This window comes from Homo sapiens, chromosome 6, assembly GCF_000001405.40.
Source record: "Homo sapiens chromosome 6, GRCh38.p14 Primary Assembly".
Classification (NCBI taxonomy): Eukaryota; Metazoa; Chordata; class Mammalia; order Primates; family Hominidae; genus Homo; species Homo sapiens.
Window position 1 is genome coordinate 145894106 of NC_000006.12, and position 26072 is coordinate 145920177.

The 26072-nt window shown below is 34.4% G+C and overlaps 1 protein-coding gene and 1 long non-coding RNA gene across 17 annotated transcripts in view; one reads left to right on the forward strand and one right to left on the reverse strand.

Moving 5' to 3' along the window:
* Positions 1–26072, reverse strand: part of SHPRH (SNF2 histone linker PHD RING helicase) — a 106521-nt gene that overhangs the window by 36268 nt on the left and 44181 nt on the right. For 13 of the 16 annotated variants that reach the window (XR_942393.4, XR_942390.4, XM_047418600.1 and 10 more), the window contains 6 exons: positions 25243–25386; positions 24026–24127; positions 19373–19444; positions 16343–16531; positions 780–872; positions 45–131 (listed from right to left, as the gene is read on the reverse strand). Coding sequence is in view for 14 of the 16 variants with exons in the window: in XM_047418600.1 (XP_047274556.1) it covers positions 45–131; positions 780–872; positions 16343–16531; positions 19373–19444; positions 24026–24127; positions 25243–25386 (687 nt within the window). In the remaining 2 variants the exon portion in view is untranslated. Of the gene's footprint in view, positions 1–44; positions 132–779; positions 873–15380; positions 16532–19372; positions 19445–24025; positions 24128–25242; positions 25387–26072 lie in introns of those variants that run through there. The other 3 variants (XM_006715443.5, XM_047418603.1, XM_047418602.1) reach the window with 2 other exon arrangements.
* LOC124901420 (uncharacterized) lies at positions 21382–23857 on the forward strand. The gene is made up of 2 exons (XR_007059801.1): positions 21382–21606; positions 22699–23857. It is a non-coding gene; the product is annotated as an uncharacterized LOC124901420 (long non-coding RNA).

Below are 26072 nucleotides of genomic sequence, written 5' to 3' on the forward strand. Positions count from 1 at the left end.
GCAACTGTATCCACTACAAAAACCGGAGTAAAATCTTAACATACCTGAAATGTCTTAACACGACTGATTTGTGCAAATTCCATGTTGTTGTCAGTAAGAGCTTTTGAAATAATATCTAATACATCTTGCCACTAGAACACATAAAACAATAAGAAAACCAATATTTACACGTAGCCTTTATCTAAGGGTATCTGAAAAGGAAATAAATCAAAATGACTTTTATACTGGAGTTAAGAAAATAAAACCAAAACCAAAACCCTCAAATGTAGTACCATCCATATTATTTAGCTCTATCTGAAATAGTAATTTTGTTTGTTTTTTTTTTTTTGCATCAAATGCTGGTTTTGAAAATGTAATTAAGATAAACAAACAGTAGAAAATACATAATGGAGTGCATACTGGAATATAGTTACTTAGTTTTCGAAAATGAAAACTAAGGGTTTTACTCAACACTTTATAAAGTAGATTGTCTTTTTCAACCCAAATTTTTGTGAAATGAGACTTTCAAAGTCAGAAATTCCAATTTTAAAAATATTAAACTAAGAAAATCCTTAAATGAAACTAATAAAAAGTCATGAAATATAGCTATACAAATTGCCTTGTGAAACATCATCACATTTCTCTAAAAATAATTCTATCTTCTCTAAAAATAATTCTATCTTATGGATTTGGGAAAAAAAATCTAAGAGTAAACATCAAAAATTAGTTCTCAGCTGTAAACTGATTAGAGAGGGAAAATCAGTTCGAATTAATATTGAGGATGAAAATGTTGATTATACCGTTGAGAAAACGAGTGCTTTGGCCCCTGGATCTCTAAGCTGTATTTTCATCAGAGTTCTGACCACAGCTTCCACTTTTGTAGAATGGCTGCCCTTTGAACACACACACAAAATACACATTACTACTAAAAAATCTAGTTAAGAACAGAATAGAAAAGCAATACAAAGTACTTTTTATTATCAAAACTATAAATGCATCAAAACAAATTATCAGGTGCATATGTGTTTACTCTTTTTCATTTTGTGTTTGCTGGAAATTTTCTTTAGCCTCGAAATGTAGAAGTCATTAAATTTACACCCAGACATTTGAATGTAAAAGCATGCCAGAAAGTCATTAAGTGCTATGACCCTGAACATAGGATCTTTTAGTTAAGTAGTCAGGTTTTATAGTTACAAAATTTTGTTACATTAGATTAGCAGAAATGATATTTTAAAACACTCTTCATTTATTCTCCCTTTCTTCAGATATTATGTCATTAGAAATGTTAAGAATACAATGAATCAAAACTCCCAATGTAAGCAAACAGTGAAGGATCCAACCAATGGAGAATGTTTTCTTGCAAGGGTATTACCAAAAACAATGACAGAGGTACAAATGATGCTCACTTAGAATGAGGCAGATTCATACAAAGCTAGACACTTAAAACTGTGTGTTTTTTTTTTTTTGCATCTTCCATAACCATTTCTATCAGATGAGGATGAAAGTGAAAAAATGATTTTTAAAATGGAGAAATAAGAAAATGAGGAAAATAGTGCAAGTATTTCTGTAGCCCTCAATGAGAAAGTTTTCCTTCTGGAGTGCTCTTGGAGATGGTATGACAGAGAAATTAAGGTTATGGGATTTTGAATGAGACAAATTTAAGTTCAACTCATAGTTCTACAACTCACTAGTTATAGTTTCTAATCCTGTGTTTCCTCATCTATCCAATAGGGCTGAATGATAATTATATCTCTTTCCAAAGGTGGCTGTGATGATTGAATGAGAAAATGTATACGAAGCATTTAGCCTAACATCTGGTAAGGAGTAAACACTCAAGAACTTATTATCTTTCTGAGATATTAAATATGAGCACTATAATGACCTAGATTATACCACAAGGGGGAGCAGATTTAACCAAAAAGAAGGAAAAATATTTCCACAGCAGCATAAACCCTCTCCCTCAATCCTCTCAACACACTTTTACATGAAGAAACATTCAAAGGTAAAAATATAAACAAAACAAGAAAGAAAGCTGTACTAATTTTAAGCCAGCAAGATAGAATAATGGAAAAAGTTTTAAAATCCTCATGCTAAAATCATGATTCTACACTTATTTTCTCTGGGTATGTAGACTTTCAAGTGTACTTGCAAGATTAGAAATGTACTACAAAGAACCTATTTCAGTCTAATAATTATCTCAAACAAGAGCGAAGAGAAAATAGGAAATTAGTGTAAAGGTGATCATTTCAGAATTTAGACAAAAACATCCATGTTCCTTGCAAGGTCTTACTTTTAAAACTATTTCAAGTGAAATACCAGGAAAACTATGAATCCTTCCACTGATTAATACGTTTCTTACTAAAAGTTCAAAAAAAATGTAGAATAAATTTTTTATAATCAACATTTCTAGTACCGTAGTGCTAACTCTACGTAGGAAAAGAACAGAGCATTTGCTTTTATCAAAGACTGGCCAGTTCAGTGGTAGTGCTCAATGATCCCTTCCAACCACTACAGTTCTGAACCATTTTGTCCCAATCTAGTTACTTCCTACTTTCCTAGCAGAATATGTTAGGATACAAAACAAGTCCGAAATCAAGACTGAAATTACATCAAGTATCTTCTCTGACAATGGAATGAAACTAGAAACCCATAATAGGAGGAATTTTGGAATTAACAAAAATATAGAAATTAAATAACATGCTCTTGAACATTCATTGGGTCAATGAAGCAATTAAAAGGAAAAATTAAAAATATCTTGAGACAAATGAAAATGGAAATACAACATAACAAAAGGTATGGGAATTCAGCAAAAGCAGTTCTAATAATGAAGCTTATAGAAATAAACAACTACATAAAAAAAGAGAAATGTTCTAAATAAACAACTAATGTTGCACCACAAGGAACTGGAAAAAGAAGAGCAAAGTAAGCCGAAAGTCAGCAGAAGGAAAGATATAATAAAAATCAGAGCAGAAATAAATAAAATAGAGATCAGAAAAAAAATTACAGAAAAGACTAATGAAATTCTTAGTTGGTTATTTGAAAACATAAACACAATGGACAACCCTTTAGGTAGACTAAGAAAAAATAAGAGTAAAATTTAAAAAATTATAAATGAAAGTAGAGACATTAAAACTGATACCACAGAAATACAGAGAATCATGAGACTTATGAACAACTATACGCCAAGAAATCAGAAAATCTAGAAGAAATGGATAAATTCCCAGAAACATACAATCTACCAAGACTGAATCACAAAGAAACAGAAAATCTGAAAAGACCAGTATGTAGTAACAAGATTGAGTCAGTAATAAAAAGTCTCCCCTCAAAGAAAAGCATAGGAACTAGTGGTTTCACTGGTAAAGTTAAACAATCATTTAAAGAAGAACTAATACCAATCTTTCTTGAACTTTTATAAAAAACTGAAGAGAAAATATTCTTAATTCATTTTACAAGACCAGAAGTACTCTGATATCAAAATCAGACAAGAACACTATAAGAAAACAATTACAGGCCAGTGTCTCTGATGAAAACATGCAAAAATCCTCAACAAAATACTAGGAAGCCAAATTCCACAACACATTAAAAGGGATCACTCACCATGATCAACAGGGATTTACCTCTGGCATGCAAGGATGGTTTAACGTATGCAAACCAATAAATGTGATACACCACAGAATAAAGGAAAAAAATGATCATCTCAATATATGCAGAAAAAATATCTGATAAAATTCAACATACTTCAATAAACTCTCAACAACTTAGGTATAGAAGGAATGTACCTCAACACAGTAAAGGCCATAAATGACAAGCCTACCAGATAGCATCATATTCAATGGTGAAAAGCTCAAAGCTTTTCCTTTAAGATCAGCAAAACACAAATGCCCACTCTTGCCACTGTTATTCAACATAGTATTGGAAGTCTTAGCTAGAGCAATTAGGCAAGAAAAAGAAATAAAAGGCATTCAAATTGCAAAGGAGGAAGTTAAACTGTTTGCAGATGACATGATCTTATATATACAAAATCCTAAAGATTCCACCAAAAATCTGTTAAAAGCAATGAATTTAGTGAAGTTTCAGGATACAATAGAAACACAAAAATCAGTAGCATTTCTATACCTAACAATCAATTATCCAAAAAGGACGTCAAGAAAAAATATTTTATAATGTCATAAAAAAATGCTTAGGAGTAAATTTAATCAAGGTGAGAGACCTGTACACTGAAAACTATGAAACATTAATAAAAAAATTAAAGAGAACACAAATGGAAAGACATATGTTCATGAACTGAACTAATATTGTTACATAAATATTATATAACATAATCTATAGACTCAATGCAATCCCTATTAAAATTCTGATGACATTTTTCACAGAAATAGTGCTATGATTTGAGTTTGTCCTCAGCAATACTCATGCTGAAATTTGATACCCAGCGTGGAGGTTTTGGGAAGTGGGGCCTAGTGGCAGGTGTTCTGAGTCATGGGGGTGGATCCTTTATGAATGACTTGGTGCCATTCTCTTGGTAGTGAGTAAATTCTCTCTTGTGCAAGATGAATTGGCTCCTATGAGGGCAGGCTGTTATAAGTTTCCTCCTCCTTTTTGTTGCTCTCTCTTTGTACCTGTCTGCTACCCCTATGACCTCCGCCATGTTATCATGCAACAAGGAAGCCCTCACCAGAAGGGCCATCTCCTTGAACTTCCCTGCCTACAGAAAAAGGAGTTAAATAATCCTCTTTTTTCTTTTTGAGACAGGGTCTTGTGCTGTCGCCCTAGTTGGAGTGCAGTGGTGTAATTACAGCTCACTGCAACCCTGAACTCCTGGGCGCAAGTGATCCTCCCACCTCAGTCTCCCGAGTAGCTGGGACTACAGGTGTGCACCACCACACCTGGCTACTTTTAAATTTTTTTTGGTAAAGACAGAGTCTTATTATGTTGCCCAGGCTGGTCTTGAACTCCTGGCCTCGAGTGATCCTCCTGCCTTGGCCTCCCAAGGCACTGAGATTATAGGCATGAGTCACTGCATCTGGCCGTAACTCCTTTTATTTATAAATTACCCAGCCTCAAATATTCTGTTACGGCAACATAAAACAGACAAAGAAAAATAGGAAAAACAATTCTAAAACTCATATGGAACCACAAAAGACCTTGGATAACCAAAGCAATCTTGAGCAAAAAGCTAGAGATACCACACTCCCTGATTCTAAAACACATTTTAAAACTACAGTAATAAAAATAGTACGCTACTGAAATAAAAACAGACATACAGACCAATGGAACAGGAGAGAGCCCAGAAATAAACCCACACATACACAGTCAACCAATCTTTAACAAAGATAAGAAGATCACACAATGGGGAAAAAACAGTCTCTTCAATAAACTGTGCTGAAAAAACTAGTTATCCACATGCAAAAGAATAAAACTGGACCCTTATCTCACCGCATATACAAAAATCATCTCAAAATGGATTAAAGACTTAAATATAAGACCCAAAACTACAAACTACTTGACAATGATCTTGGTAAAGACTTTTTGGATATGACCCAAAAAACTCAGGCAAGAAAAGCAAAAAGATAAATAGGATCGCATTAAAGTTAACAAGCTTCTGCACAGCAAAGGAAATAATCAACAAAGACAATCTACAGCAAAGGAGAAAATATCTGCAAACCACACATGTGATAAGGAGTTATTATCCAAAATATACCAGAAACTCAAACAACTCAACAGCAAGAAAACAACCTGAGTAAAAAATGGGCAAAGGACCTGAAAAGATATTACTCAAAAGAAGACATACAAATAGGTAACAGGTCTAGGAAAAGGTGCTCAACGACCCTAATCATCAGGGAAATACAAATTAAAACCACACTGAGATACACCACCTCATTCCTGTTAGAATGACTATTATAAAAAAGACAAGAGATAAGTATTGGTGAGAAGGTGGAGAAAAAGGAAACCCTTGTACACCATTGGTGGCAATACAAATTAGTAGAGCCATTTTGGAAAATAGTAAAGAGGTTTCTCAATATATTAAAAATAGAACTACCACACAATCCAGCAGTTCTATTTCTGGGTATATATCCAGGGGAAATTAAATCAGCATGTGGAAGAGATATCTGCAATCTCAAGTTAATTTCAGCATTATTCATGGTAGCCAAGACATGGAATCAATGTAAGTGTCCATCCATTGATGAATAAATTTTAAAACAGGTTATATATACACCACGGAATATGTTTTTACCTGACAGTAAATCAATCCTGTCAGGTGAGATAACATCTATGTACCTGAAAGACACCATGCTAACTGAAATAAACCAGGCACAGAAAAGACAGATACTGCATGATCTCACTTATATGGGATATCTAAAAACATTTAACTCACAGAAGCAGAGAGCAGAATGGCGGTTACCAGAGGCTGGAGTTTGTGGGGGAAGGGAGTGGGTTAAATGGTGCAAAGTTTTAGTTAGACAGAAGGAACAGATCTAAAGATCTATTATACAGCATGGTGACTACAGTACATAATAATGTATTGTATACCATTGTCCCTTGGTATTCATGGGGAGTTCTAGGATCCCCATTGGATATCAAGATCTGCAGATGCTAAGTGCCTTACATAAAATGATAGTATTTACATATAGCCTACACACATCCTTCTGTATACTTTAAAATCATCTCTGTATTACTTACAATACTGAATACAATGTAAATCTTACGTAAATTATTATAGTGTCTTTTAAAAATTTGTGTTTTTTAAATATGCTGTATTGTGATTTTTTATTGTTGCTGGGTTTTTCTTGAGTATTTTTTATCCGTGGTTAACTGAATCTGCTGATGCAGAATCTGCAAATGTGGGGGGCCAACTATACTTGAAAACTGCTAAGAGGGCAGATTTTAAATTTTCTTATCACAAAAATTGGTTAAGTATGTGAAGTGATGGGTATGTTAATTAGCTTGATTCAATCCTTCCATAATATCTACATATATTAAAACATCATGTTGTATACTACCATAAATATATACAATATTTCATTTGACAGTTAACAAAGAACCATATGAGGAACTGGATATACAAAGATGAAAAAATACACTCCCTTGTCTCCAAATACATAACACTCTAACGCGTGTTGCAGAATATGGAGAAAAACATAAAAGGATGGTTTATCTGCTGGTTTGGCAATTGAAATGAATGTTTTATACCGCCTTAATGAGCACTACACACATTCTACTGCTCTTTTTCATGTTTCTTCTATCTTAAATATGTAAATAAACTTGGGTTCAAATCTGCCAGCTTCTGAGAAGACTATTCAATGTAGTTACTGCTATAGAAAGCAAATATTCACATTGTTAAAAAAAGATAAGATTAAAACAGGAAAAAGGGAATGGGTTACATATAGGCAAGGCTGCTTGCAAAAAAGCAAAAAAGTAACAAAAGGAAATGTGGATACCAATCTATTCCTGTGCAAGCTGTTAACACAGTATGAACATTCTCAAGACAGGTAAACTGGTAGCCTCTGGCAAACTCATTATTTAGCTACAGCAGTAAACAGATGCAAAGTTAAGCTGGAATGTTATGCATTAGGGAAGACTGTACATGGGAACAGAAATCCCATACAACTGCTAGATAATCTCTTAATATATTAGGTTGATAAAGTTGTACTTAACTATAAGCACCTCTGTCCTCTTCTGACATTACTGTCCCTTTCCTTACTCCCATCCTTTCTCCTTAGTCTCTTCAGCACACACACACACCCTAATCCTAACTTTGTGCTTATTGCTTGGTTTTCCTTCATGTTTCTGAAACATTAATGACCAAGGTCCAGCTTTGGAATAACGACACAGCTTCTGTCCTTTACCCTCACTGACTGTATCTTTGCCATTCTTCTCTCTAAGGCACTAATTCTCTCTAAGGTCAACTAGAGAACTCGGATGGGAGACATACAAAGTGTTACCAGTCAGCGCAAGGCTGTTATCTCTCCTGGTTTTCTGCTCAAGTCAGCAGCCAGGAGAATTAAAATGTTTAAAAATAAAGAAGTGAAGTAAAGTGAAGTCTTCCACTTTCTGGAAAATAAAGTACAAAGTTAAAAGCTCCAGAATTTGGGGCAGGAAGTCAACACACTGAAAAAAGAGTAGAGACCCACTAGCACCAAAGGCCAATAAAGAATATTTCTAATGAAGTTTGGCCTGGAAGTCACTTAGTAACACAACTCAAGATCAGAAATGTCATGTGGCTTATCTGCTCTAACAGGTGCCACTAACTTATTTTTATCACAGAGTTAAATCTGATTGGAATAAGGTGTTCTATAGTTGCAGCCTCCTGTTGTAAAATGTGGAGAACCTAAACTTTGAATTACAAGTTGTTAAATGTGTTAAAATGACAGAAAATTCAGTTTTGTTTCTTTGCCATAAATTCAGTAGACTGAAAAAAATTCTTCTAATAAACCAACCAAGTAGCATCTGATCTAGATTTTAATCCTCTCCCCTCCAGAATGAGATGACCTATTTTACCGATGTAATTTCAGAGGGAGGAAGTGCTTTTCATGCACTGAAGACTTATTATTGGGGAAAAAAGAGGGCGCAATATTAATGGTAAAAATCTGAGTATTGGTGTAGAAAGATACACTGTAGCTTGGCTTTACTCTAGACTATTCAATTGTTTACACAGACTATTCAATTGTTATCCATCCATGCATTCAAATACTTACTGAGTGCCTATTATATGCCAGGTATTGTTCCAAATGCCTCATACAAAATAGTGAATAAAACAACATCCCTACCTCATGAACAAGTCCTCTACCTTTTAATGGAGTTTACACTCAACAAATGATTTTTTCATAAAGATAAGTTTTAGTTTATATCTTAGAAGTCTCTACTGTGTGTTCAATTTACTGCAAGCTATGGCTAACTTTAACATGAGGCTAACAGTTCAGAATTACAAGTATTAACTTGGCCGGTGAACAGAAATAGAAATGGTATTTTTTTTGCAATTATATTTAGTCATGACATATTTTAACAAAAAATATACAACTGCATTCCAAATTTACCAGTTAATGTTCATGTTATATAAAACTTATATAAGAATATTTAGATAAATATATTTAAATATAATCACTTCTGGATTATATTTACCAAATTATTTTATTCCTATTTTAAACTCAGAATTTCATAATCAGTTTTTTTCACTCAGATGTTTATTTTAATTATATTTTAAAAGTGTGAGACAGATGTCACAAATGATCTTTAAATTAAATGAACAAAAATTCAAATAAAAAAAAAACAGAATAGAATTCCACATGTAGAATTCTACACATAGTATGGCTAGGCTTCTCTGTGAGTTGGAATGTAGAGATACAGAGTTTTTTTCTCTACAAAAAGGCTGTATAAGATATCTCTATTATCAAGAGATATGCTTGCTAAAAATGCAGATTTCTGGACCACATCCCAGGTCTAATGAGTCAAAGTTTATGGAGACAGAGCCTGAACAAAAATATTTATTTTAAAAAGCAGGCCAGTTGATGGTCACATACTTAAAAGTTTGACAAAAAAAGCAATTGTGTAGCATGTGGTGGGTGGGAAGGGTACTGTATTGCTGTCACTATATCTATGTAGTGGCTGTATCTATTTTCTCCCGGACAGAAATTTCTTATTATCTAAGACTCTTGACCAGTATATAGGGTCAGGGTTTCCACTGGCAAAATGCTTTGTATAAAACCTAGCCAAATGTAAGACACAGGGAACAAGACATGTGGGCCATATGTTCTGCCAGGAGGCCTACTTCACCATCCAAAATGCCTGGCAGTTGTCAGAACTTGCAAGGGGAATTTTGTTTACTTTGTGAGATGCCCAGTAGGTTCCAAAGGTCATTTAGGAATACCATCACACTGTTGCTAGGGAAGAAATGGTCTTCAACTTAAGTGCATCCACCGAACAGGACATTTGTGATCCCAGTATTCATTTTATATCTATGGTCAATCAACAGCATTCCTTACATTGTAAAATCTCTTATTTCCAAGAAATACTACTTAAAAATGTCTACTACTAATAAATAATAGTTTTATGCTTTCCAAATATCTTTTATCCACAAAAAAGCTATATGATTAAGCATTCTGTACGATATATGGTTTGCTATGTCTGAGAATCTTGACATAAATACAGTGAAATAATCATTTCAGAAATAAATTTTATATTTCAGATAATATAAACATTTCAATTAAATAAAAAATTACTTGTCAGTATTGCTTGTTAAAGAACAACGATTTGATAATCAACAGTAATATAAAGAAAAAAACTAGGTTTAGAAATAATTGGAACTAGTAGTTTCTAAAATTTGAAAATAATGCCTTAATTATTTACACAAAGCCATCTTTATTTACATACTAATCCAAAATAGGCAATATGATCATTTATGTGGAAGTTTCAAAGAGTCACAAGAGAGGGGTGAAGTCTCAGAATACAATAAGCTGATGTTTCAAGGAGGAAGTGACAGACAGCAGGCCAGAAATGTGACAGAAGTCAGAAGAAGAGACAGGAAGCACAAGGCAAATGTGGCAGACACAAATGGTAACAGAAAAAGCAGTGAAGAGCCAACCTAAACATGGCGTGAAGCAGTGTGACAACGTCGAGGAGGGATAAAATTTGCCCGCACAATGGTACAATAGTCTTATGTTTAAGAAAAGGAAATGTAATTACATGTGCATCTATGATAAAAAGGGAAATTATCTTTAGTAAATTCTATAAACTTAATTTTTTTTAAAAGATGCTTCAGTTAATTCACGTGTTAATCAATACTCATGAAAGACAGCGAGAAGTGAGAGCACAATAAACAGTATTTATATACCGATATCCCTGCTCCAACAGCACAGCACATGTAACTGTGCCAATCTCTATCCTGGGTGTCTAGGAAAGCTGCCATAAAATGAACAGGTGTTTGGATTTGATGGGCTCAATGACTCAGTTTCGTAGAGGCTGTGCTGTTTACCAGTAGCTAGAGCAATCACTTCCTTAACCTCTCTGCGCAAAACCTGACACAGCAGTTCTTTCTTATGCCAGTTCCTTGTACTGTGATGCATGCTGTCACCTAAGGGTGAGCCACCTCTTCTTAGCCACAAAGGCCATCTGTGGCCCTTGAGATGCTGTGGCCAGAGGAAGAGAAAGAAGAGAAAAAAGGAAGGGCTAAGAAAGACTATCTTTATGGAAAGGAAAGGAGAAACTATAGGAGTGGGAAGAAAGGGAGAGAGGGACTGGGAAGCAGCATAGCTCCTAAGTGCAGGCAGGATAAAGAATAACTGTCAAATGCCTCAGGGCTGCACCATAAGTCACCTACTTCTTCCTTCAATAACTCTTTGGTATTTGCTTTAAAAATATAGTCCTCCCTCAGTATCTGTGAGGGACTGACTGCTTCCAAAACCCCTGTGGATACCAAAATCCCAGGATGCTCAAGGCCCTTATATAAAATGATGTCATATTTGCATATAACATACACACATCCTCCTGTATACTTTAAATCATCTCTAGATTACCTCATATAATCCCTACACATCATTGCATTTGCGTGGATTCAATGTAAACTCAGCATGCTGCAAATTCAAGTTCTGCTCTTTAGAACTTCATGGAATTTTTCTTTTTCCAAGTATTTTTGATCTATGGTTGGCTATATCCACAGATACACAGGGCTGACTGTAAAATGTATTCAGGGGATTCACAGAGAGGGAACAGGACTAGATGATCCTTAGGTCATGATGCTCTCATCACGTATCCTTGCCTGTTCTGTTATTCCCATACTGTCCTGCACTTCCTTCCTGCTTGTTTACCCTCTAATTTTTCTCCTTTCACTCCTGGACCTTTCACTGGCGCCCCCTGGAACCCGTATTTTATGAAACAAATTGTTTCATATTTTCTACCTCTTGTAGAAATACTGCTCTTCACTTCCCTGCTTTAATTAGAACCTGGCTATCTTCTAAGCATACTGGTCTCTCAGCAGCCCTTTTGAGTGAAGGATTTGACTGTTGCATTTGAGTGCTGGTCCACAAATGCAGGTTTCAGAGCATTAGTTCTCATTTGTGTAACAACTTCCATTTTTTGAGCCCCCTGAAGCCCAGTTATCCCAACTCTACCCTTTGCTATAATTTATTGAACCCTACCCTACATTCACTAAAGAACTTTGGTGCCTAATTTACTCTATACCTCAACTCTAGATATTACATACTGTCTGCTTGGACAGCTCATCCAAAATTCAGGTCTCACTGTTTCATCTTCTAGCATCTTTTCTTCTCCACCTCACTTGAGTCACCTACTTCTACAGTCACATCTGGCAGGCCTGTCCTCTCTGGAATGACTATGATCTCCCATTCTCAGATAAGAACACCTATGCTTATATCTTTTGTGCTCAATAGCCCAATTTATACCTGTTATTTGACTTCAATGAAACTCTACTTTCTATACATCAACATTCTCCTTCTTTTCAAGAAACTTGTATTACAAATTATCCTTTCTCCTATATCTTCAGTCTATCCTTTTTTCACTGGAGACTAAACATGCTCAAGAATCTTTTGTCTTAAACAGAACAACAACAAAAAAGTGATGTCTTTCTGTTTTCATAGGTTCTGGTTACAATTCTGATTCTATCTCACAGTTAAGTTTATGAAACAGTTGGGCATTTTTTCTACTTGTTGACTTCCTGCTCATCCCGCAATCCCTCCCAATCTGCTTTCTGCCTCTACATTTGTATTAAAAGAGCTCCTTCTAAAGTCATCAGTGACCTCATTAGACAAATTAGTCCACATTGTAGTTGATCCACCTTCAGCACTACTGTCTCCTCACCGAAGCAGAGCTTCCCTGTGGTCTTTGTTGCCAGCGTACCTGCCTGGATTGCCTGTCCCTAGTTGCTCCTTCTCATTTTCCAGCCCTCCCAACTTGATTCAATCTTTTAAAGTTATGGACTTCATAGGACTCAATCTGAAGCAAACTTTTCTATTAGTGACTCCGAATTTTGTATCTCCAGCTCCACATATCAACACTTTTCTGGATAGTTCTACTTGGATGTCTTAGGCACCTTAAATATGATATGTCTAAATGTATTCCTCTTCCAAATATCTTGTATCATTAGCTATACCATTACCCACCTGCTTATTCACATCAGAAACCAGGGGTGATCTATGAAATTTCCTTCACTAATGCTGCCAACATTCTCTAACTTTATTCTAAACATGTCTAGAATATACCCACTTCTCTCCATTTCTACCGCCATCAGCCAAATCAAAGCCACCATTACTCCTGCTGTAGCCTCCTAAGCTGCTCTCTCCAAATTTCTTCTGCTCTATTCTGTTCCTCATCATCTGTTTTCCACACAAGAGAGATCTTTTTGAAATCCAAATTTGATCATGATACATCCCTGCTTATAATATTTAATGGCTTTCTCCTTAAATAAAAATAAAATTCTCAAATGTTCAGGTGGCCCTTCAACATCTGGTCCCCTAGTTAGGTCTCCAGGCTTATTCAACTGCTTTCTCCTTGCTTTCTACACTTCAGCCACTCAGATCCATTTGAGTCCTTGTCTTAGGCTTTTCCATGCACTGGCTCTCTTCTGGTTTTCTTTTTCTCTGTCTGGGAGCCAACCTATTCTCTCCTCAGGCTGACTAATTCATCATTCATCCTTTAGATACCTGCTTAACTGTCATTCCCTCAGAGACTTTTTTTCCTTTTTCTCCTTAAAAAACAAAACAAAACAAAACAAAACAAAAAAACAGGATACATGTACAGAATATGCAGGCTTGTTACACAGGTATCCATGTGCCATGGTAGTTTGCTGCACCTATTTATCTGCCCTCTTAGTTCCCTCTCCTTACTCCCCTGCCCCAACAAGCCCTGGTGTGTGTGTTGTTCCCTTCTTTGTGTCCATGTGTTCTCAGTGTTCAACTCCCACTTACGAGTGAGAACATGTGGTGGTTTTTTGTTCCTGTGTTAGTTTGCTGAGGATGATGGCTTCCAGCTTCATCCATGTCCCTGCAAAGGACATGATCTCATTCCTTTTTATGGATGCATAGTATTACATGGTGCATATGTACTATATTTTCTTTATCTAGTCTATCATTGATGGGCATTTGGATTGGTTCCATATATTTGTTATTGTAAATAGTGCTGCAGTAAACATTTGTGTGTATATGTCTTTATAGCAGAATGATTTATATTCCTTTGGGTATATATGCAGTAATGGGATTGCTGGGTCCTATGGGATTTCTGTTTCTAGATCCTTGAGGAATCGCCATACTGTCTTCCACAATGGTTGCACTAATTTATATTCCTACCAACAGTGTAAAAACGTTCCTATTTCTTCACAGCCTTGCCAGCATCTATTGTTTGTTGACTTTTTAATAATCGCCATTCTGACTGGTGTGAGATGGTATCTCATTGTGGTTCTGATTTGCATTTCTCCGATGATCAGTGATGAACTTTTTTTCATGTTTGTTGGCCACGTAAATATCTTCTTTTGAGAAGTGTCTGTTCATGTCCTTTGTCCAATTTTTGATGGGGTTGTTTTTTTCTTATAAATATGTTCACATTCCTTGTAAATTCTGGATATTAGACCTCTGTCAGATGGGTTGATTGCAAAAATTTTCTCCCGTTCTGTAGGATGCCTGTTTACCGACGATAATTTCTTTTGCTCTGCAGAAGCTCTTTAATTAGATTCCCTTTGTCAATTTTGGCTTTTGTTGCAATTGCTTTTGGCATTTTTGTCATGAAGTCTTTGTCCATGCCTACGTCCTGAATGGTACTGCCTAGGTTTTCTTCTCGGATTTTTAGGGTTTTGGGTTTTACATTTAAGTCTTTAATCTATCTTGAGTTAATTTTTGTGTAAGGTGTAAGGAAGGGGTCCGGTTTCAGTTTTCTGCATATGGCTAGCCAGTTTTTCCAGCCCCATTTACCCAATAGGATCCTTTCCCCATTGTTTGTTTTTGTCGGGTCTGTCAAAGATCAGTTGTAGATGTGTGGTATTATTTCTGAGGTCTCTGTTCTGCTCCATTCGCCTATATGTCTGTTTTGGTACCATTCTGTTTTGGTTACTGTAGCCTTGTAGTATAGTTTGAAATCAGGTAGCATGATGCCTCCAGCTTTGTTCTTTTGTAGTGCTTATCACAATTATAACACATTATTTATTAACATCTGTGCTTCCTGCCCCAACTCAAACTCCTTCACCAATCTCCACAAAAGTAGTAACCATATCTGTTTTATTTATGTGTATGCTGTGTCTATGAGGCCTAGCACACTGCCTGTGTGCTAGTACGTGTCCAATATATATGTGTGGAATGAATGGATGAATGCTTATTCTAACTGTGGAATTCTGTTTATCCCAACAGACTAAAGAGCAATATAACTGATATTTTCAGGTTTTACTCAAATAACAGTGAAAAAAGAGCAATTAAAAGTTCTTTAATGCAGCTACAGTTTTCTTGGGAGAAGGGTACCCTAATAACTGCTTAACTACTGGTAGTGAATTTCAACTTGTAGCTGATTCTACTTAAAAAACACATTACTTAAAAGTGAGGAGTATCAAAAACTCAGAAGGAATTAATAAAGAATACTTCATCTTGCTTAAGAGTCAACCCCATCATTCTCTAATTCTCATTCTCTATTCCTTAAAGCCCACATTTGCTACTAAATTTAGATACCGATGTGTCCTTTGTTCAAGTTTGGTTAGAAAAAAAATATTAAAAAAGCATATTTAAGGAAAAGAAAGAGCAAAATAGTCTTGGCTTTTTATTAAATACCCCTTAAAAGCAGTAAATCCAATTACAGATCCAGTCTGGATATCACATTATAGTAATTTTCTTAAAATTCTGAATGAAGCATGGAAAAAAATTAGGAAAATAAAGCCAAAATTTGGCTTTATCCTGGAATATCAATCTATGCTGTTTAAAAAGCACATTACCCTCTTTCTTGTAGCTGTCTTCATTAGCCAATTTATTTTATCCTTCTGTTTAGTTAGACACATCCTTTTTTCCTTACATTCAGGGATGTGTAAAAGAATGAGGAAAACTCTTTCTTTAAATAAATCTCTAATGTAACCAGACCTCTGTCTACTTGTGGTGGATAGAAATATTATAGAGGATAGGAAACTGTAATTTTAAGATGTTACATTTTAGTCACAGTGTACATGACTATCGCTAACCATGTTTGAATAAGTGTTCTGTGTTCCTCCTACAATTAAAAATTACATGGTTAAGCTGAGGCTTTCAGGCAGTGTATCTACAGACAACAGTGGCGTCTACCTATTCACTGTCAAGCTTGTTCTGATGTTCATGCTTTCTTAATCAGATACTGCTTCCTATATTATATTGCCTTACCTATGCTTCTATGTGTTCCTGACCTACTTTACCTTCACAGGGATGTCCTCCTCCTGGTTTGCTTTCTCTGAGGTAAAGACATACGAGATTTCTTTGTGAGATGTGGTCTGGCGGCAGATTGCACACTTAATGGAGCTTCTGTGAGATCCCACGCTGTATTGTTCAATAATTATAGAAATGCATTCATTACAGAAACAGTGACCACAGGTCAGTACCGCCCACTAAAAAGAAAACAGAACAAGCCTTAGTGCTATCAAAGATGCCTTACAATTTATAAGCATATTAAAAAGAGATTCGCAATTTTTCCTCCTAAAGATTTCATAACATTAATATTCTTTGTCATAAAGCCAAGTTGTGCCTTCAAATTAATTTTTTATTCCAAAGTAAGTTTTCATAATCTTTAGTTCTGTTTATCCTAAAAGTGAGTATGATAGTCAGTCACCACTACTTTGTAGAAAGGTGGTGTTCTCATTTCTGTATTTGGGAAGAATGTAAATTAGTCCTTCAGCACTCTAACAACAGATATAACAGAGGGACTTAGAATATTAATTTGGAGATAATATCATACTCGATATGTTCCATTTAATTTAAAAAACAGATTTATATTTTCACACATTAAAGCACTTATATAGAAAATAATATGGGATAGTATCTCAAATTTATTTTGAAAATGGTTCTGGTTATTTAAAAAATTACAAACAAAAAGAAATTATTATTATTACTATTATTTTTTAGACATTCTTGCTCTGTCGCCCAGACTGGAGTGCAAATGATGCGGTCTTGGCTCACTGCAACCTTGCAACCTCCACCTCCAGGATTCAAGCAATTTTCCTGCCTCAGCCTCTTGAGTAGCTGGGATTACAAGCACCTGCTGCCACGACCAGCTAATTTTTGTATTTTTAGTAGAGAGGGGTTTCACCACACTGACCAGACTGGTCTCGAACTCCTGACCTCATGATCCATCCACTTCGGCCTGGGATTACAGGTGTGAGCCACCGCGCCCAGCCAAAAAGAAATGTTTAAGAAACCCCTTGTCCTATTCGGGAAAAATAAAATAATCCTCTCTGAATCTCTGCAACATACCATGGAGACTTTTGCCCTCTTTGGCAACGAGAGACGTAAGAACAATAGATTTAGTCTAGGTGTAAGTTCTAAAAGCTATGGCATCTTACAAATGTAGTTTTAACCGTTTTCATCTGGTAAAAACAATAAGAAAAACTGAGTGTCTTTTGAGTGACAAAGCTTCTAAATCCTTAAGCTATGTTTTTTTTAAGATTTGGACATGTATGGAAAGAAAGTGCGTACCTGGCCCACTTGAGATTCTTTGCTGGATCATCTAAGATGCTCTTTGGAAAAGAACTCACATTGAAAGAAGAGAAAACTGAGGTATATAAGCTTGGTTTTCAAACCACTATTTTGCCTATTAACAGCTAATACTATTCCTACTGTTCTCTAGCTGCACCTCTGCCAGAGTCCACAGGAGTTGAGACTAATGAAATTGAAGAGCTGTTTTACTAGCATTTTTGTATGACACAGAGCAGCACTATATTGTACTTTATGTACCTCTAGTGCCACTGGGGTACTCTACTGGAAAGGAGTTTTGTGACTCACTAGAGCTCAAAATGGACCAACTAAACATCAAGACAGGTCCACCTACATGTGCAATGGAGAAGAAGCAACGAGATACCTGGCACCTGACCATTAGGAGTGACAGGAAGCTGACTGACCCAAACAGAAGAGACAAATGGCAATGCCTCCAGGTGCATCAGCTGGTACATATGGGTTAACTCTGATAGATTCTAATTTAATAGCCCTAAATTAGAAGGGGGGAGAACTGGGGATCCAAAAAGGAAAAAAAAATACGGCTACTATATATTGTAAGTATGAACAGAGCTTGAAAAGTATTTTTATTACTATTATTGAAATCCAATATGGTCTTCCAAGTGCAGGAAACCTAGGTTATGCTAGAATTAAATGAACTAATGTATATGAAAGAACTTTAAAAACTGAAAATGTTTAAGACAAAATGAAATATCTGAGACAGTCCAGTTGTATAAATCTTATCAAAACTAAAAGCAAAAAATACTACTTTATGTCATGATTTCTTCCATTTTTATCACAACTTTTATCAGTTTCATCACTGACTTTTGTCAGAAGTAACCAGCATTTGTACAGTACTATTTTGCTCAGTTTCCAATGTAGTATCTCTCCCTTTAAGATGTATTAGCAAATAAAGTATTCTTGTGATCTCACCTTCTCCACCAATCTTAGAAACCAAAAGGTACTTTCTTCTTGATTATTACTGGTCAGAATATGGAATGCATATATTTACCTTTCAACTCTCAGTTCCATAGAAAAAAACAGCCAAGACTATTTCTACTTCTTCAACAGTAATAGGCTTATCTTTCAAATTTTCAAGAGCAATGAATAGTCTGATATATATATATATAGATTTATCATAGAAAGCAGAAACTTGTATTTTCATAAATTGCAGTTCTCCTAGAGGAGAATATGGTTCTACCATGTTTATAGACATTATGTATACTAATATCCACAAAGGAATATATTTAATATAGTGGTCTACCAAAATCACATCTAAATTTCCCTAGGAGAGATTAATTTGTACTCTGAAGAACAAGTATTATGAGACATTAATACTGGCAAGTAAGAACTACGATTCTATACTAATGTAATACCTTAAGTAAATCTATGTGTGTTATATTACATTTCTGTATAATTATTGAATAACTATGTTAACCTGACGAAGTCAAATTACTGGACACAACCTTGTGACTGGAAACAATGTTCAAAACTGTGCATCTTTAATGAAAAAGATGGCGTCATTCTAGAAATATTTTTTCACTTCCCATTTAAGAAAAGCATTGCTCAAACATCTAATCCTAAGCACGTCACCTAACCTCTAGTGCTATCTTTAAGATAATGGTAATACTTGCCTTTCATAGAAACTAGTGGTGAGAAAAACGAGAGAAAGATTTTATGTAGAAACCTTTGAAAACTGTAAGGTATTTTATAAATGCATGTGATGTTTATCATAATTTTACCTGTTTTCCTAGCTGTCGAGCACAGATTGGGCAAGGTTCTGGATTAACACCTCCCGATGTTTTATCTTGAGACTATCCAAAAAAGAATTAAAAAATATATTAGTTACGTTTTTACATATAAAACCTGATATATGTTTTGCAACTCATTTATGGAAGTGAATACTGGCAATTACAATTTACATAATCTAACAATTTAGATGACCCATCGATCTCTATATTACCTAACAAGATTATTCCTGAGACTTCCTTACAAATATCATTTATTCAAGGAGTGAACAAAAAAATGAAAACAATTTTAATCACACAGGTTGAATATCCCTAATCCAAAATCTGAAATCTGAAATGCTCCAAAATCCAAACTTTTTGAGTGCTGACATGACAATCAAGGTAAATGTTCACTGGAGCATTTCAGGTAACAGATTTTCAGATTAGGCATTTAAACAAATTGAACCAATGAATTATTCTTTTCCTCTGTTAATTATTGATTTTTATAAGTAAATCAATAATGTATGTATATATTTGCAGTTCTATAATGTCCATTTGATCTTACCATATAGATTCCAATTCATTTTACTATGTTGTCCACTTTTCCTTTTTACATATAATAAATCACCTACAAATTTAGTGGCTTAAAACAAACATATGATTCCCAAGATTCTACAGGTGATTTGGGGATGGGCTGAGTTGGCTGGGGTTGGATGGTCTATGATGGCCTCATGCTCATGTTTGGCAGTTGGTAGGCTATCTGGTCTGCAGGGAGGGCTGGGCTGAGCTGAGGGCTCTGCTGCTCAAGAAAGTAAACTAGGCTTTTTGAGATAGTCTCATGGAGTTCCAAAGAGCAACAAGAATGGGAGGGTCATTGCTGTAGCACTTTGTAAACAATCTATCATAATTCACAACAGCTCTTCTTTTCCAATATGTCAATAAAGAGTTGACATTTATATAAATGGTGAGATTATAAATATTTTAGGCCTTGTGGGCCATATGATCTGTGTTGTAACAACTCAATTCCACTAATGTGGCATGAATGCAGCCACAGACAATACGTAAATGAATGAGTGTGACCATATTCCAATAAAACTTTACTTACGAAAAAAGGCAGCGGGCTGAATTTTTCCCATGCATGGTAATTTGCAGATCCTTAAGTTAAAGAAGTTATAAATTTTCCTCTAAGCACTGTCACATATTTTTACTTTCACTCAGTTCAGAGTATTTTCTAATTTCCATTTTGACTTCTTCTTTGACCCATGGGTTATTCAGAAGTATCCTGTCAATTTCTATTAAACTTTTAGGGATTTATCCAGTTATCTTTCCATTACTGATTTCTGGTTTAAATTCCTCTTCAGTCAGAAAACATACTCTCACATACTTTTAAGAGCGGCTTTTTGAATTAGCATAAGGTCTATTTTGATAAATGTTCCACGTACACCTAAAAAATATGTATTCTGAAGCTGTTGGGTGTAATGGTCTGTGTCAGTTGGGTCATATTTGTTCATTAGTGTTCAAATGTTCAATATCCTTACGGACTTTCTTGTCCATTCCTCTGAAGGAATCTTAAAATAGATTAAATTATCTTAAAATAATTACATTATTTTAATAAATTTTATAAATTTTAATAAACTTATAAATAAATTTATAATAAAATATAATTATAAATATATTTTGGCAGAATTATAAATATATAATTATAAATATAAATATTATAATACAATTATAATAAAATAAATTTTAATAAATTTAAATAAATTAAATTAAATCTTAATAATCCTCTGCTTACCTCTTTCCTTTGTGCTACTGACATATATTTTAGTTCTATATAAGTTGTATAACCCATAAGACAGCATTGTTGCTTTTAAATAGTCAATATCCTTGCATATTTATCTACATATTTAAGCTTTTGTTCTTCATTCCTTACTGTAGTTGCATCCTTCAATCTGAAATAATTTTCCTTCCATCCAAAGAAGTTCCTTTAATATTTATTGTGATGTGTGTTTACTGGAGATGAATTCTTCCAGTTTATGTTTGTCTGAAAATATCCTTATTTCACTTTTTTTAAAAAAAGGAAATTTTCTTTAAGTATAGAACTCTAGGTTGGCTGTTTTTTTCTTTTAGCATTTTGAAGATGTTCCAATGTCAACTGGTTACATAGAGAAACTATGGAAAATACCGAAACATCTTTAAAGGTGAAAAGAAAAACATCTCTATGTAGCCACCAGTTTTATTAGTGTTCCTTTGTAAGTATTAAATGTTTTATCTCTCAACTTTTTTTATTTCTATTTTTCATTATTTTTGGTTTCCAGCAGTTTGACTATGATGTATCTAGGCAGTATTTTGTTTTTTTCTTTACTTATTCTGCTTAGTGTTTCTGAACTTCTTGAATCTTTAAGATATTTGTCATAATTTTATGAGTTTTAGAAAATTCTCAGCTATTATCTCTTCAAGCTTCTGTCCTATTCTCTTTTCTTCTTGAACTTCAATTACAAGTATGCTAGATCTATGAAATTACAAGTATGCTAGATCAAACAACTGTGTCTCAAATCTCTTTTGCCCTATTTTGTTCTTTTTCTATCTATGCCACTTCAAATTGGGTATTTTCATTTGTACTGTACTTGAGTTCATGAATCCCATCTTTTTCTGTGTCTGGTCTCCAATGAGTTTTTGATTTCAGATACTGTATTTCTGCAGTTCTATAATGTTCATTTAATCCTACTGTATAGATTCCAGTTCATCTTATGTTGTCCAGTTTTCCTTTTCCTTTCTTTCACATACAGGTTGAGCATTCCAAATCCAAAAATCTGTAATCTAAAACGCTCTAAAATCATAAACTTTTTGAGTGCTGATGCAATGCTCACAGGAAATGCTCACTGGAGCATTTCCAGTTTTGGATTTGAGATGTTCAACCTACATAAAATTGTTGACAGATATTGTTAAAGTGCTTTTAAGAAAAGCTTATATAAATTTATATTTCCATTGGTAATGCATAAAATGTATCCATTCCCTGTCCTTTTTCACCACTGGGGTGTGTAATCATTTAAAAAATCTGTGCCTAATTGTTGGCAGAAAATAGCACCTGTGTAATTTGATTTTCCATCATTATAGATTAAATGCTTTTTCTTTTATTAACAGCCAAATTGGATTTTCTTAGGTAGAATATTTATATCCTTAAAATTTTAGGTTTTAAAAAATATTTTAACATATAAACAATGACGTACAAGATAACTGTCTTTTTATTTTGACTATCATATTTAAAGTATAGAAATCTTACATTTAAAAAACTTATGTTCAGGAATGTTGAGACATTTTTCCTGTTATCTTTTTTTTTTGAGATGGAATCTCGCTCTGTCGCCTAGGCTGGAGTGCAATGGCGCAATCTCAGCTCACTGCAACCTCTGTCTCCCAGGTTCAAGCGATTCTCCTGCCTCAGCCTCCTGGGAACTGGATTACAGGCGTGTGCTACCATTCCAGCTAATTTTTTGTATCTTTAGTAGAGACAGGGTTTCACCATGTTGGCCAGGCTGGTCTCAAACTCCTCGGCCTCTCAAAGTGCTGGGATTACAGGCGTGAGCCACCATGCCCAGCCTGTGTTATCTTCTTAATGTTAGCAATTTGCATGAAACTTTTTAATTTTTTTCTTCTTTTTATCTTTCAGAATAAGTGTTGGTAATCATAACAGTAATAATGATCTTAATAATATTAATAGCAGCAAAAACCTAGAAAGTGCTTAATAGATCAGAAACTACTCTAGCATTTTACATGTATTAATTCACACAATCCTCAAGACAGCCCTATACTATAAAGTAGTGTTGACATCATTCTCATTTTACTGATGATGCGAGGAAAGGTGAATAACTTAAATAAAGTCACATATCTAGAAAACAGTTGAGTCACGATTCAAAATTGGGCTGTCCAGTTCCAAAGTCTACCTTCTTAGTCGCCATGCTATATCTATAATGAATGTCTAACTTTTCATTTTGTCTGAGATTTACTGATTCACTTAAGTATATGTTATACCAGTTTCCAGAAGAATTCAAATCTATATCTTGTCCTCACTTGCCCTATCCAAATATTTACTACTATATCTTGCCCCTAGAAGGTTCTCTGCCAACTAGCAAAATATGATTCCTGCAATAAAATGAAATTATATTTAATCAATGACCCACCAATTCATCAGTGTCCAGTATAATACTCAGATCATAACTCAGAACATGTGTTTTGAATTACTTAATATTTGAAGTCTACCTTTATTACCATGTACTCTGATTTAGTAGCTTTCGAAACACACTTCAGTTTCAAATAACAAATTACAACATATTTTTGTATTGATGAATGAATGCATGTGTATAAATTGCATTATGCCAGTTTCACCGAGATATGTTTTAATACTTTTACTATTCAAGGCTTTGAACTACAGTCCATTTACATTGTTCTCTACTATCGAGTGCATGCCTTCTATATCATCTGCATAATAAATTTCTATAGATACAATATTCTTTTGTGATCTCTGAAGCTATTGTAGAGACATAGGTAGTGTTCTGACTCATATAACACCAAATACTAATTACAACAATTTGCACCATTAATTATGAAAGGAGTCACTAAAGTGGTTTATGATAATGCAGCATAGGAAAAAGTAGCATGTCTTAGAAACAATACCTTCTCCAAATTAGTTAGGTAAAGAAGCTGCCCAAGTTTTTTCTGAAGCTGTGATGTAGCAACAGCTTTATCATTTAGTAGTTTTATTCGGTTTTGTTCTACCTAAAGAAAATAAAAATAAAAACTTCTTTATTCTTTCAGAAAGACAGTTAAATTATATTAAATATGGACAATTCTCCAGTAATACAAATGTATTGTTTTTAAAAAAAACCTATTTACATTCTAAAACACAAGTTTTCAAAATGGATACTAGATAATATATTTCAAATGATTTTTTTTTTTTTTTGCTTTATGAAAGGCACAATTCAATGCAGAGTTCTTTTAAACAGGAAGTGTCCCTATGTACCTGAAGTCAGATAAAAATAAACTCAAATTCTATTATGTACCATTTTTTTCAGTAATACATACACGGGATAAAGAAAAGTTAAATGATCTGTTGCTCTGGCCTCAGTGATTTCATGAAATCCAGGAAAGAATTTCTCTGCCCTTCTTTCCTCTGTCCCCCTGGTAGAATACAGCAGACAGAGAAGGAACACTCAAACAAGACGAATTTATTTTCTCAGAAAAACTTCTTCAGAATTCACATTTAAGTGAGATAGTATATAATGAATATATCTACATTTTTCCAAGTTACAGTCTCCAAGCTGTACAGAAACAGACTTAAGGCACTAAACAAATAAGGAATAAAAATGAATTATAAAGGAAATAATATCTTTTAATGGAGAATAAAAGAGATTGGTGGAGTAATGCTTTTAAACCTGAGTTACAAAGACAAAGTTATTAGAAGGTAAGTTGTTAATATTAGTTCATCATTAGCAAAAGAAACACTGCAAAAGAAAAGGTTTCAGTTGTTTTTAAGGAAGATTTTTCTAGTTCTGATAAAACTGAGGTGACAAAAATGTCTAAAAAGTGACTGAGAATATCTATTGGTCTTAAGCACATACAAGGTTTTAAACTCAAAAACAGATGAATGCGCAACCTGGAGAGAAACAAGATGCCCCAAAATAGTGAACACTAAGCATGTAATAGATATGAAATTGCTCATCTTTGACCATTTTTGGTCTATAAAGACAATTTTCTATGGGTCAAATTAAAAATGGAGATTAAATACACACTTACAGTAGAGCTCAGTGCCCTGATTCTGCCTTTTCTATGGGTCTTAGATATCTGTGACATCTGCTTGCTGTTCCCTTTTCTGTGATTTACTTGCCAATTACCTCATGTGGTTCAATGATATGAAGAACAGGCGGATTAGGCTTTGGCTCCCTAGGATCACGCACTCTTAGTCGTTCTGTAGCCATTGCAAGTTCATCAACAGCAGACACACGATTCCTCAGAGCCATCCAATATTCATGAAGCAACTGAAGGAATAGAAAAGACAAACACAGTGGTAAAGCATGTAATTAAAACTGGTTAAAACCACCAAGATGTGCCTTAAGCAAAAGTCTTCAATGAGATCTTACACTTTTTCGCTATGTGTCTAACGTACAAGTAGTTCCTGGGGTCATTTTTAGGATGAAATGTGAATGAAAAAAATCTCTATAGGACACTGCCTCTTTAGATTCTCAGTAACAGAATATAAAGATTTCTTGCTAAGACCAAAAATCTTTATAAAGTCCAGTTTTAGGCTGACAGAATCTCTTGTTTTATTTTTTAAAAATAGTTTTATTATAACATATTTCACATATTCAACTATGTATAAATGGCAACAAGAATACTAAAATATACAATCAAGTACTCATCATTTAATTGAAGAAAGAATAATATGAATTCCTTGGAAAGGCTCTGTGTGTTCTTTCTCAACTGTATCACTCTTTCCTCACATATTCCTCCTTCAGTACCCAACCATGGGGCAACCACTATTCTGAATTGTACTTATCCTGCTACACTTTTCATTGAACTTATACTATGTGAAACATATTCTTAATAATTCAGTTATATATGTTTCTGAAATTCACAGAAATGGTATCAATCAGTATACATTTTTTGACAGGCTCTCTTCACTGACTTTACATTTTGAGGTAGATCTGGTAGATATGTACAGCAG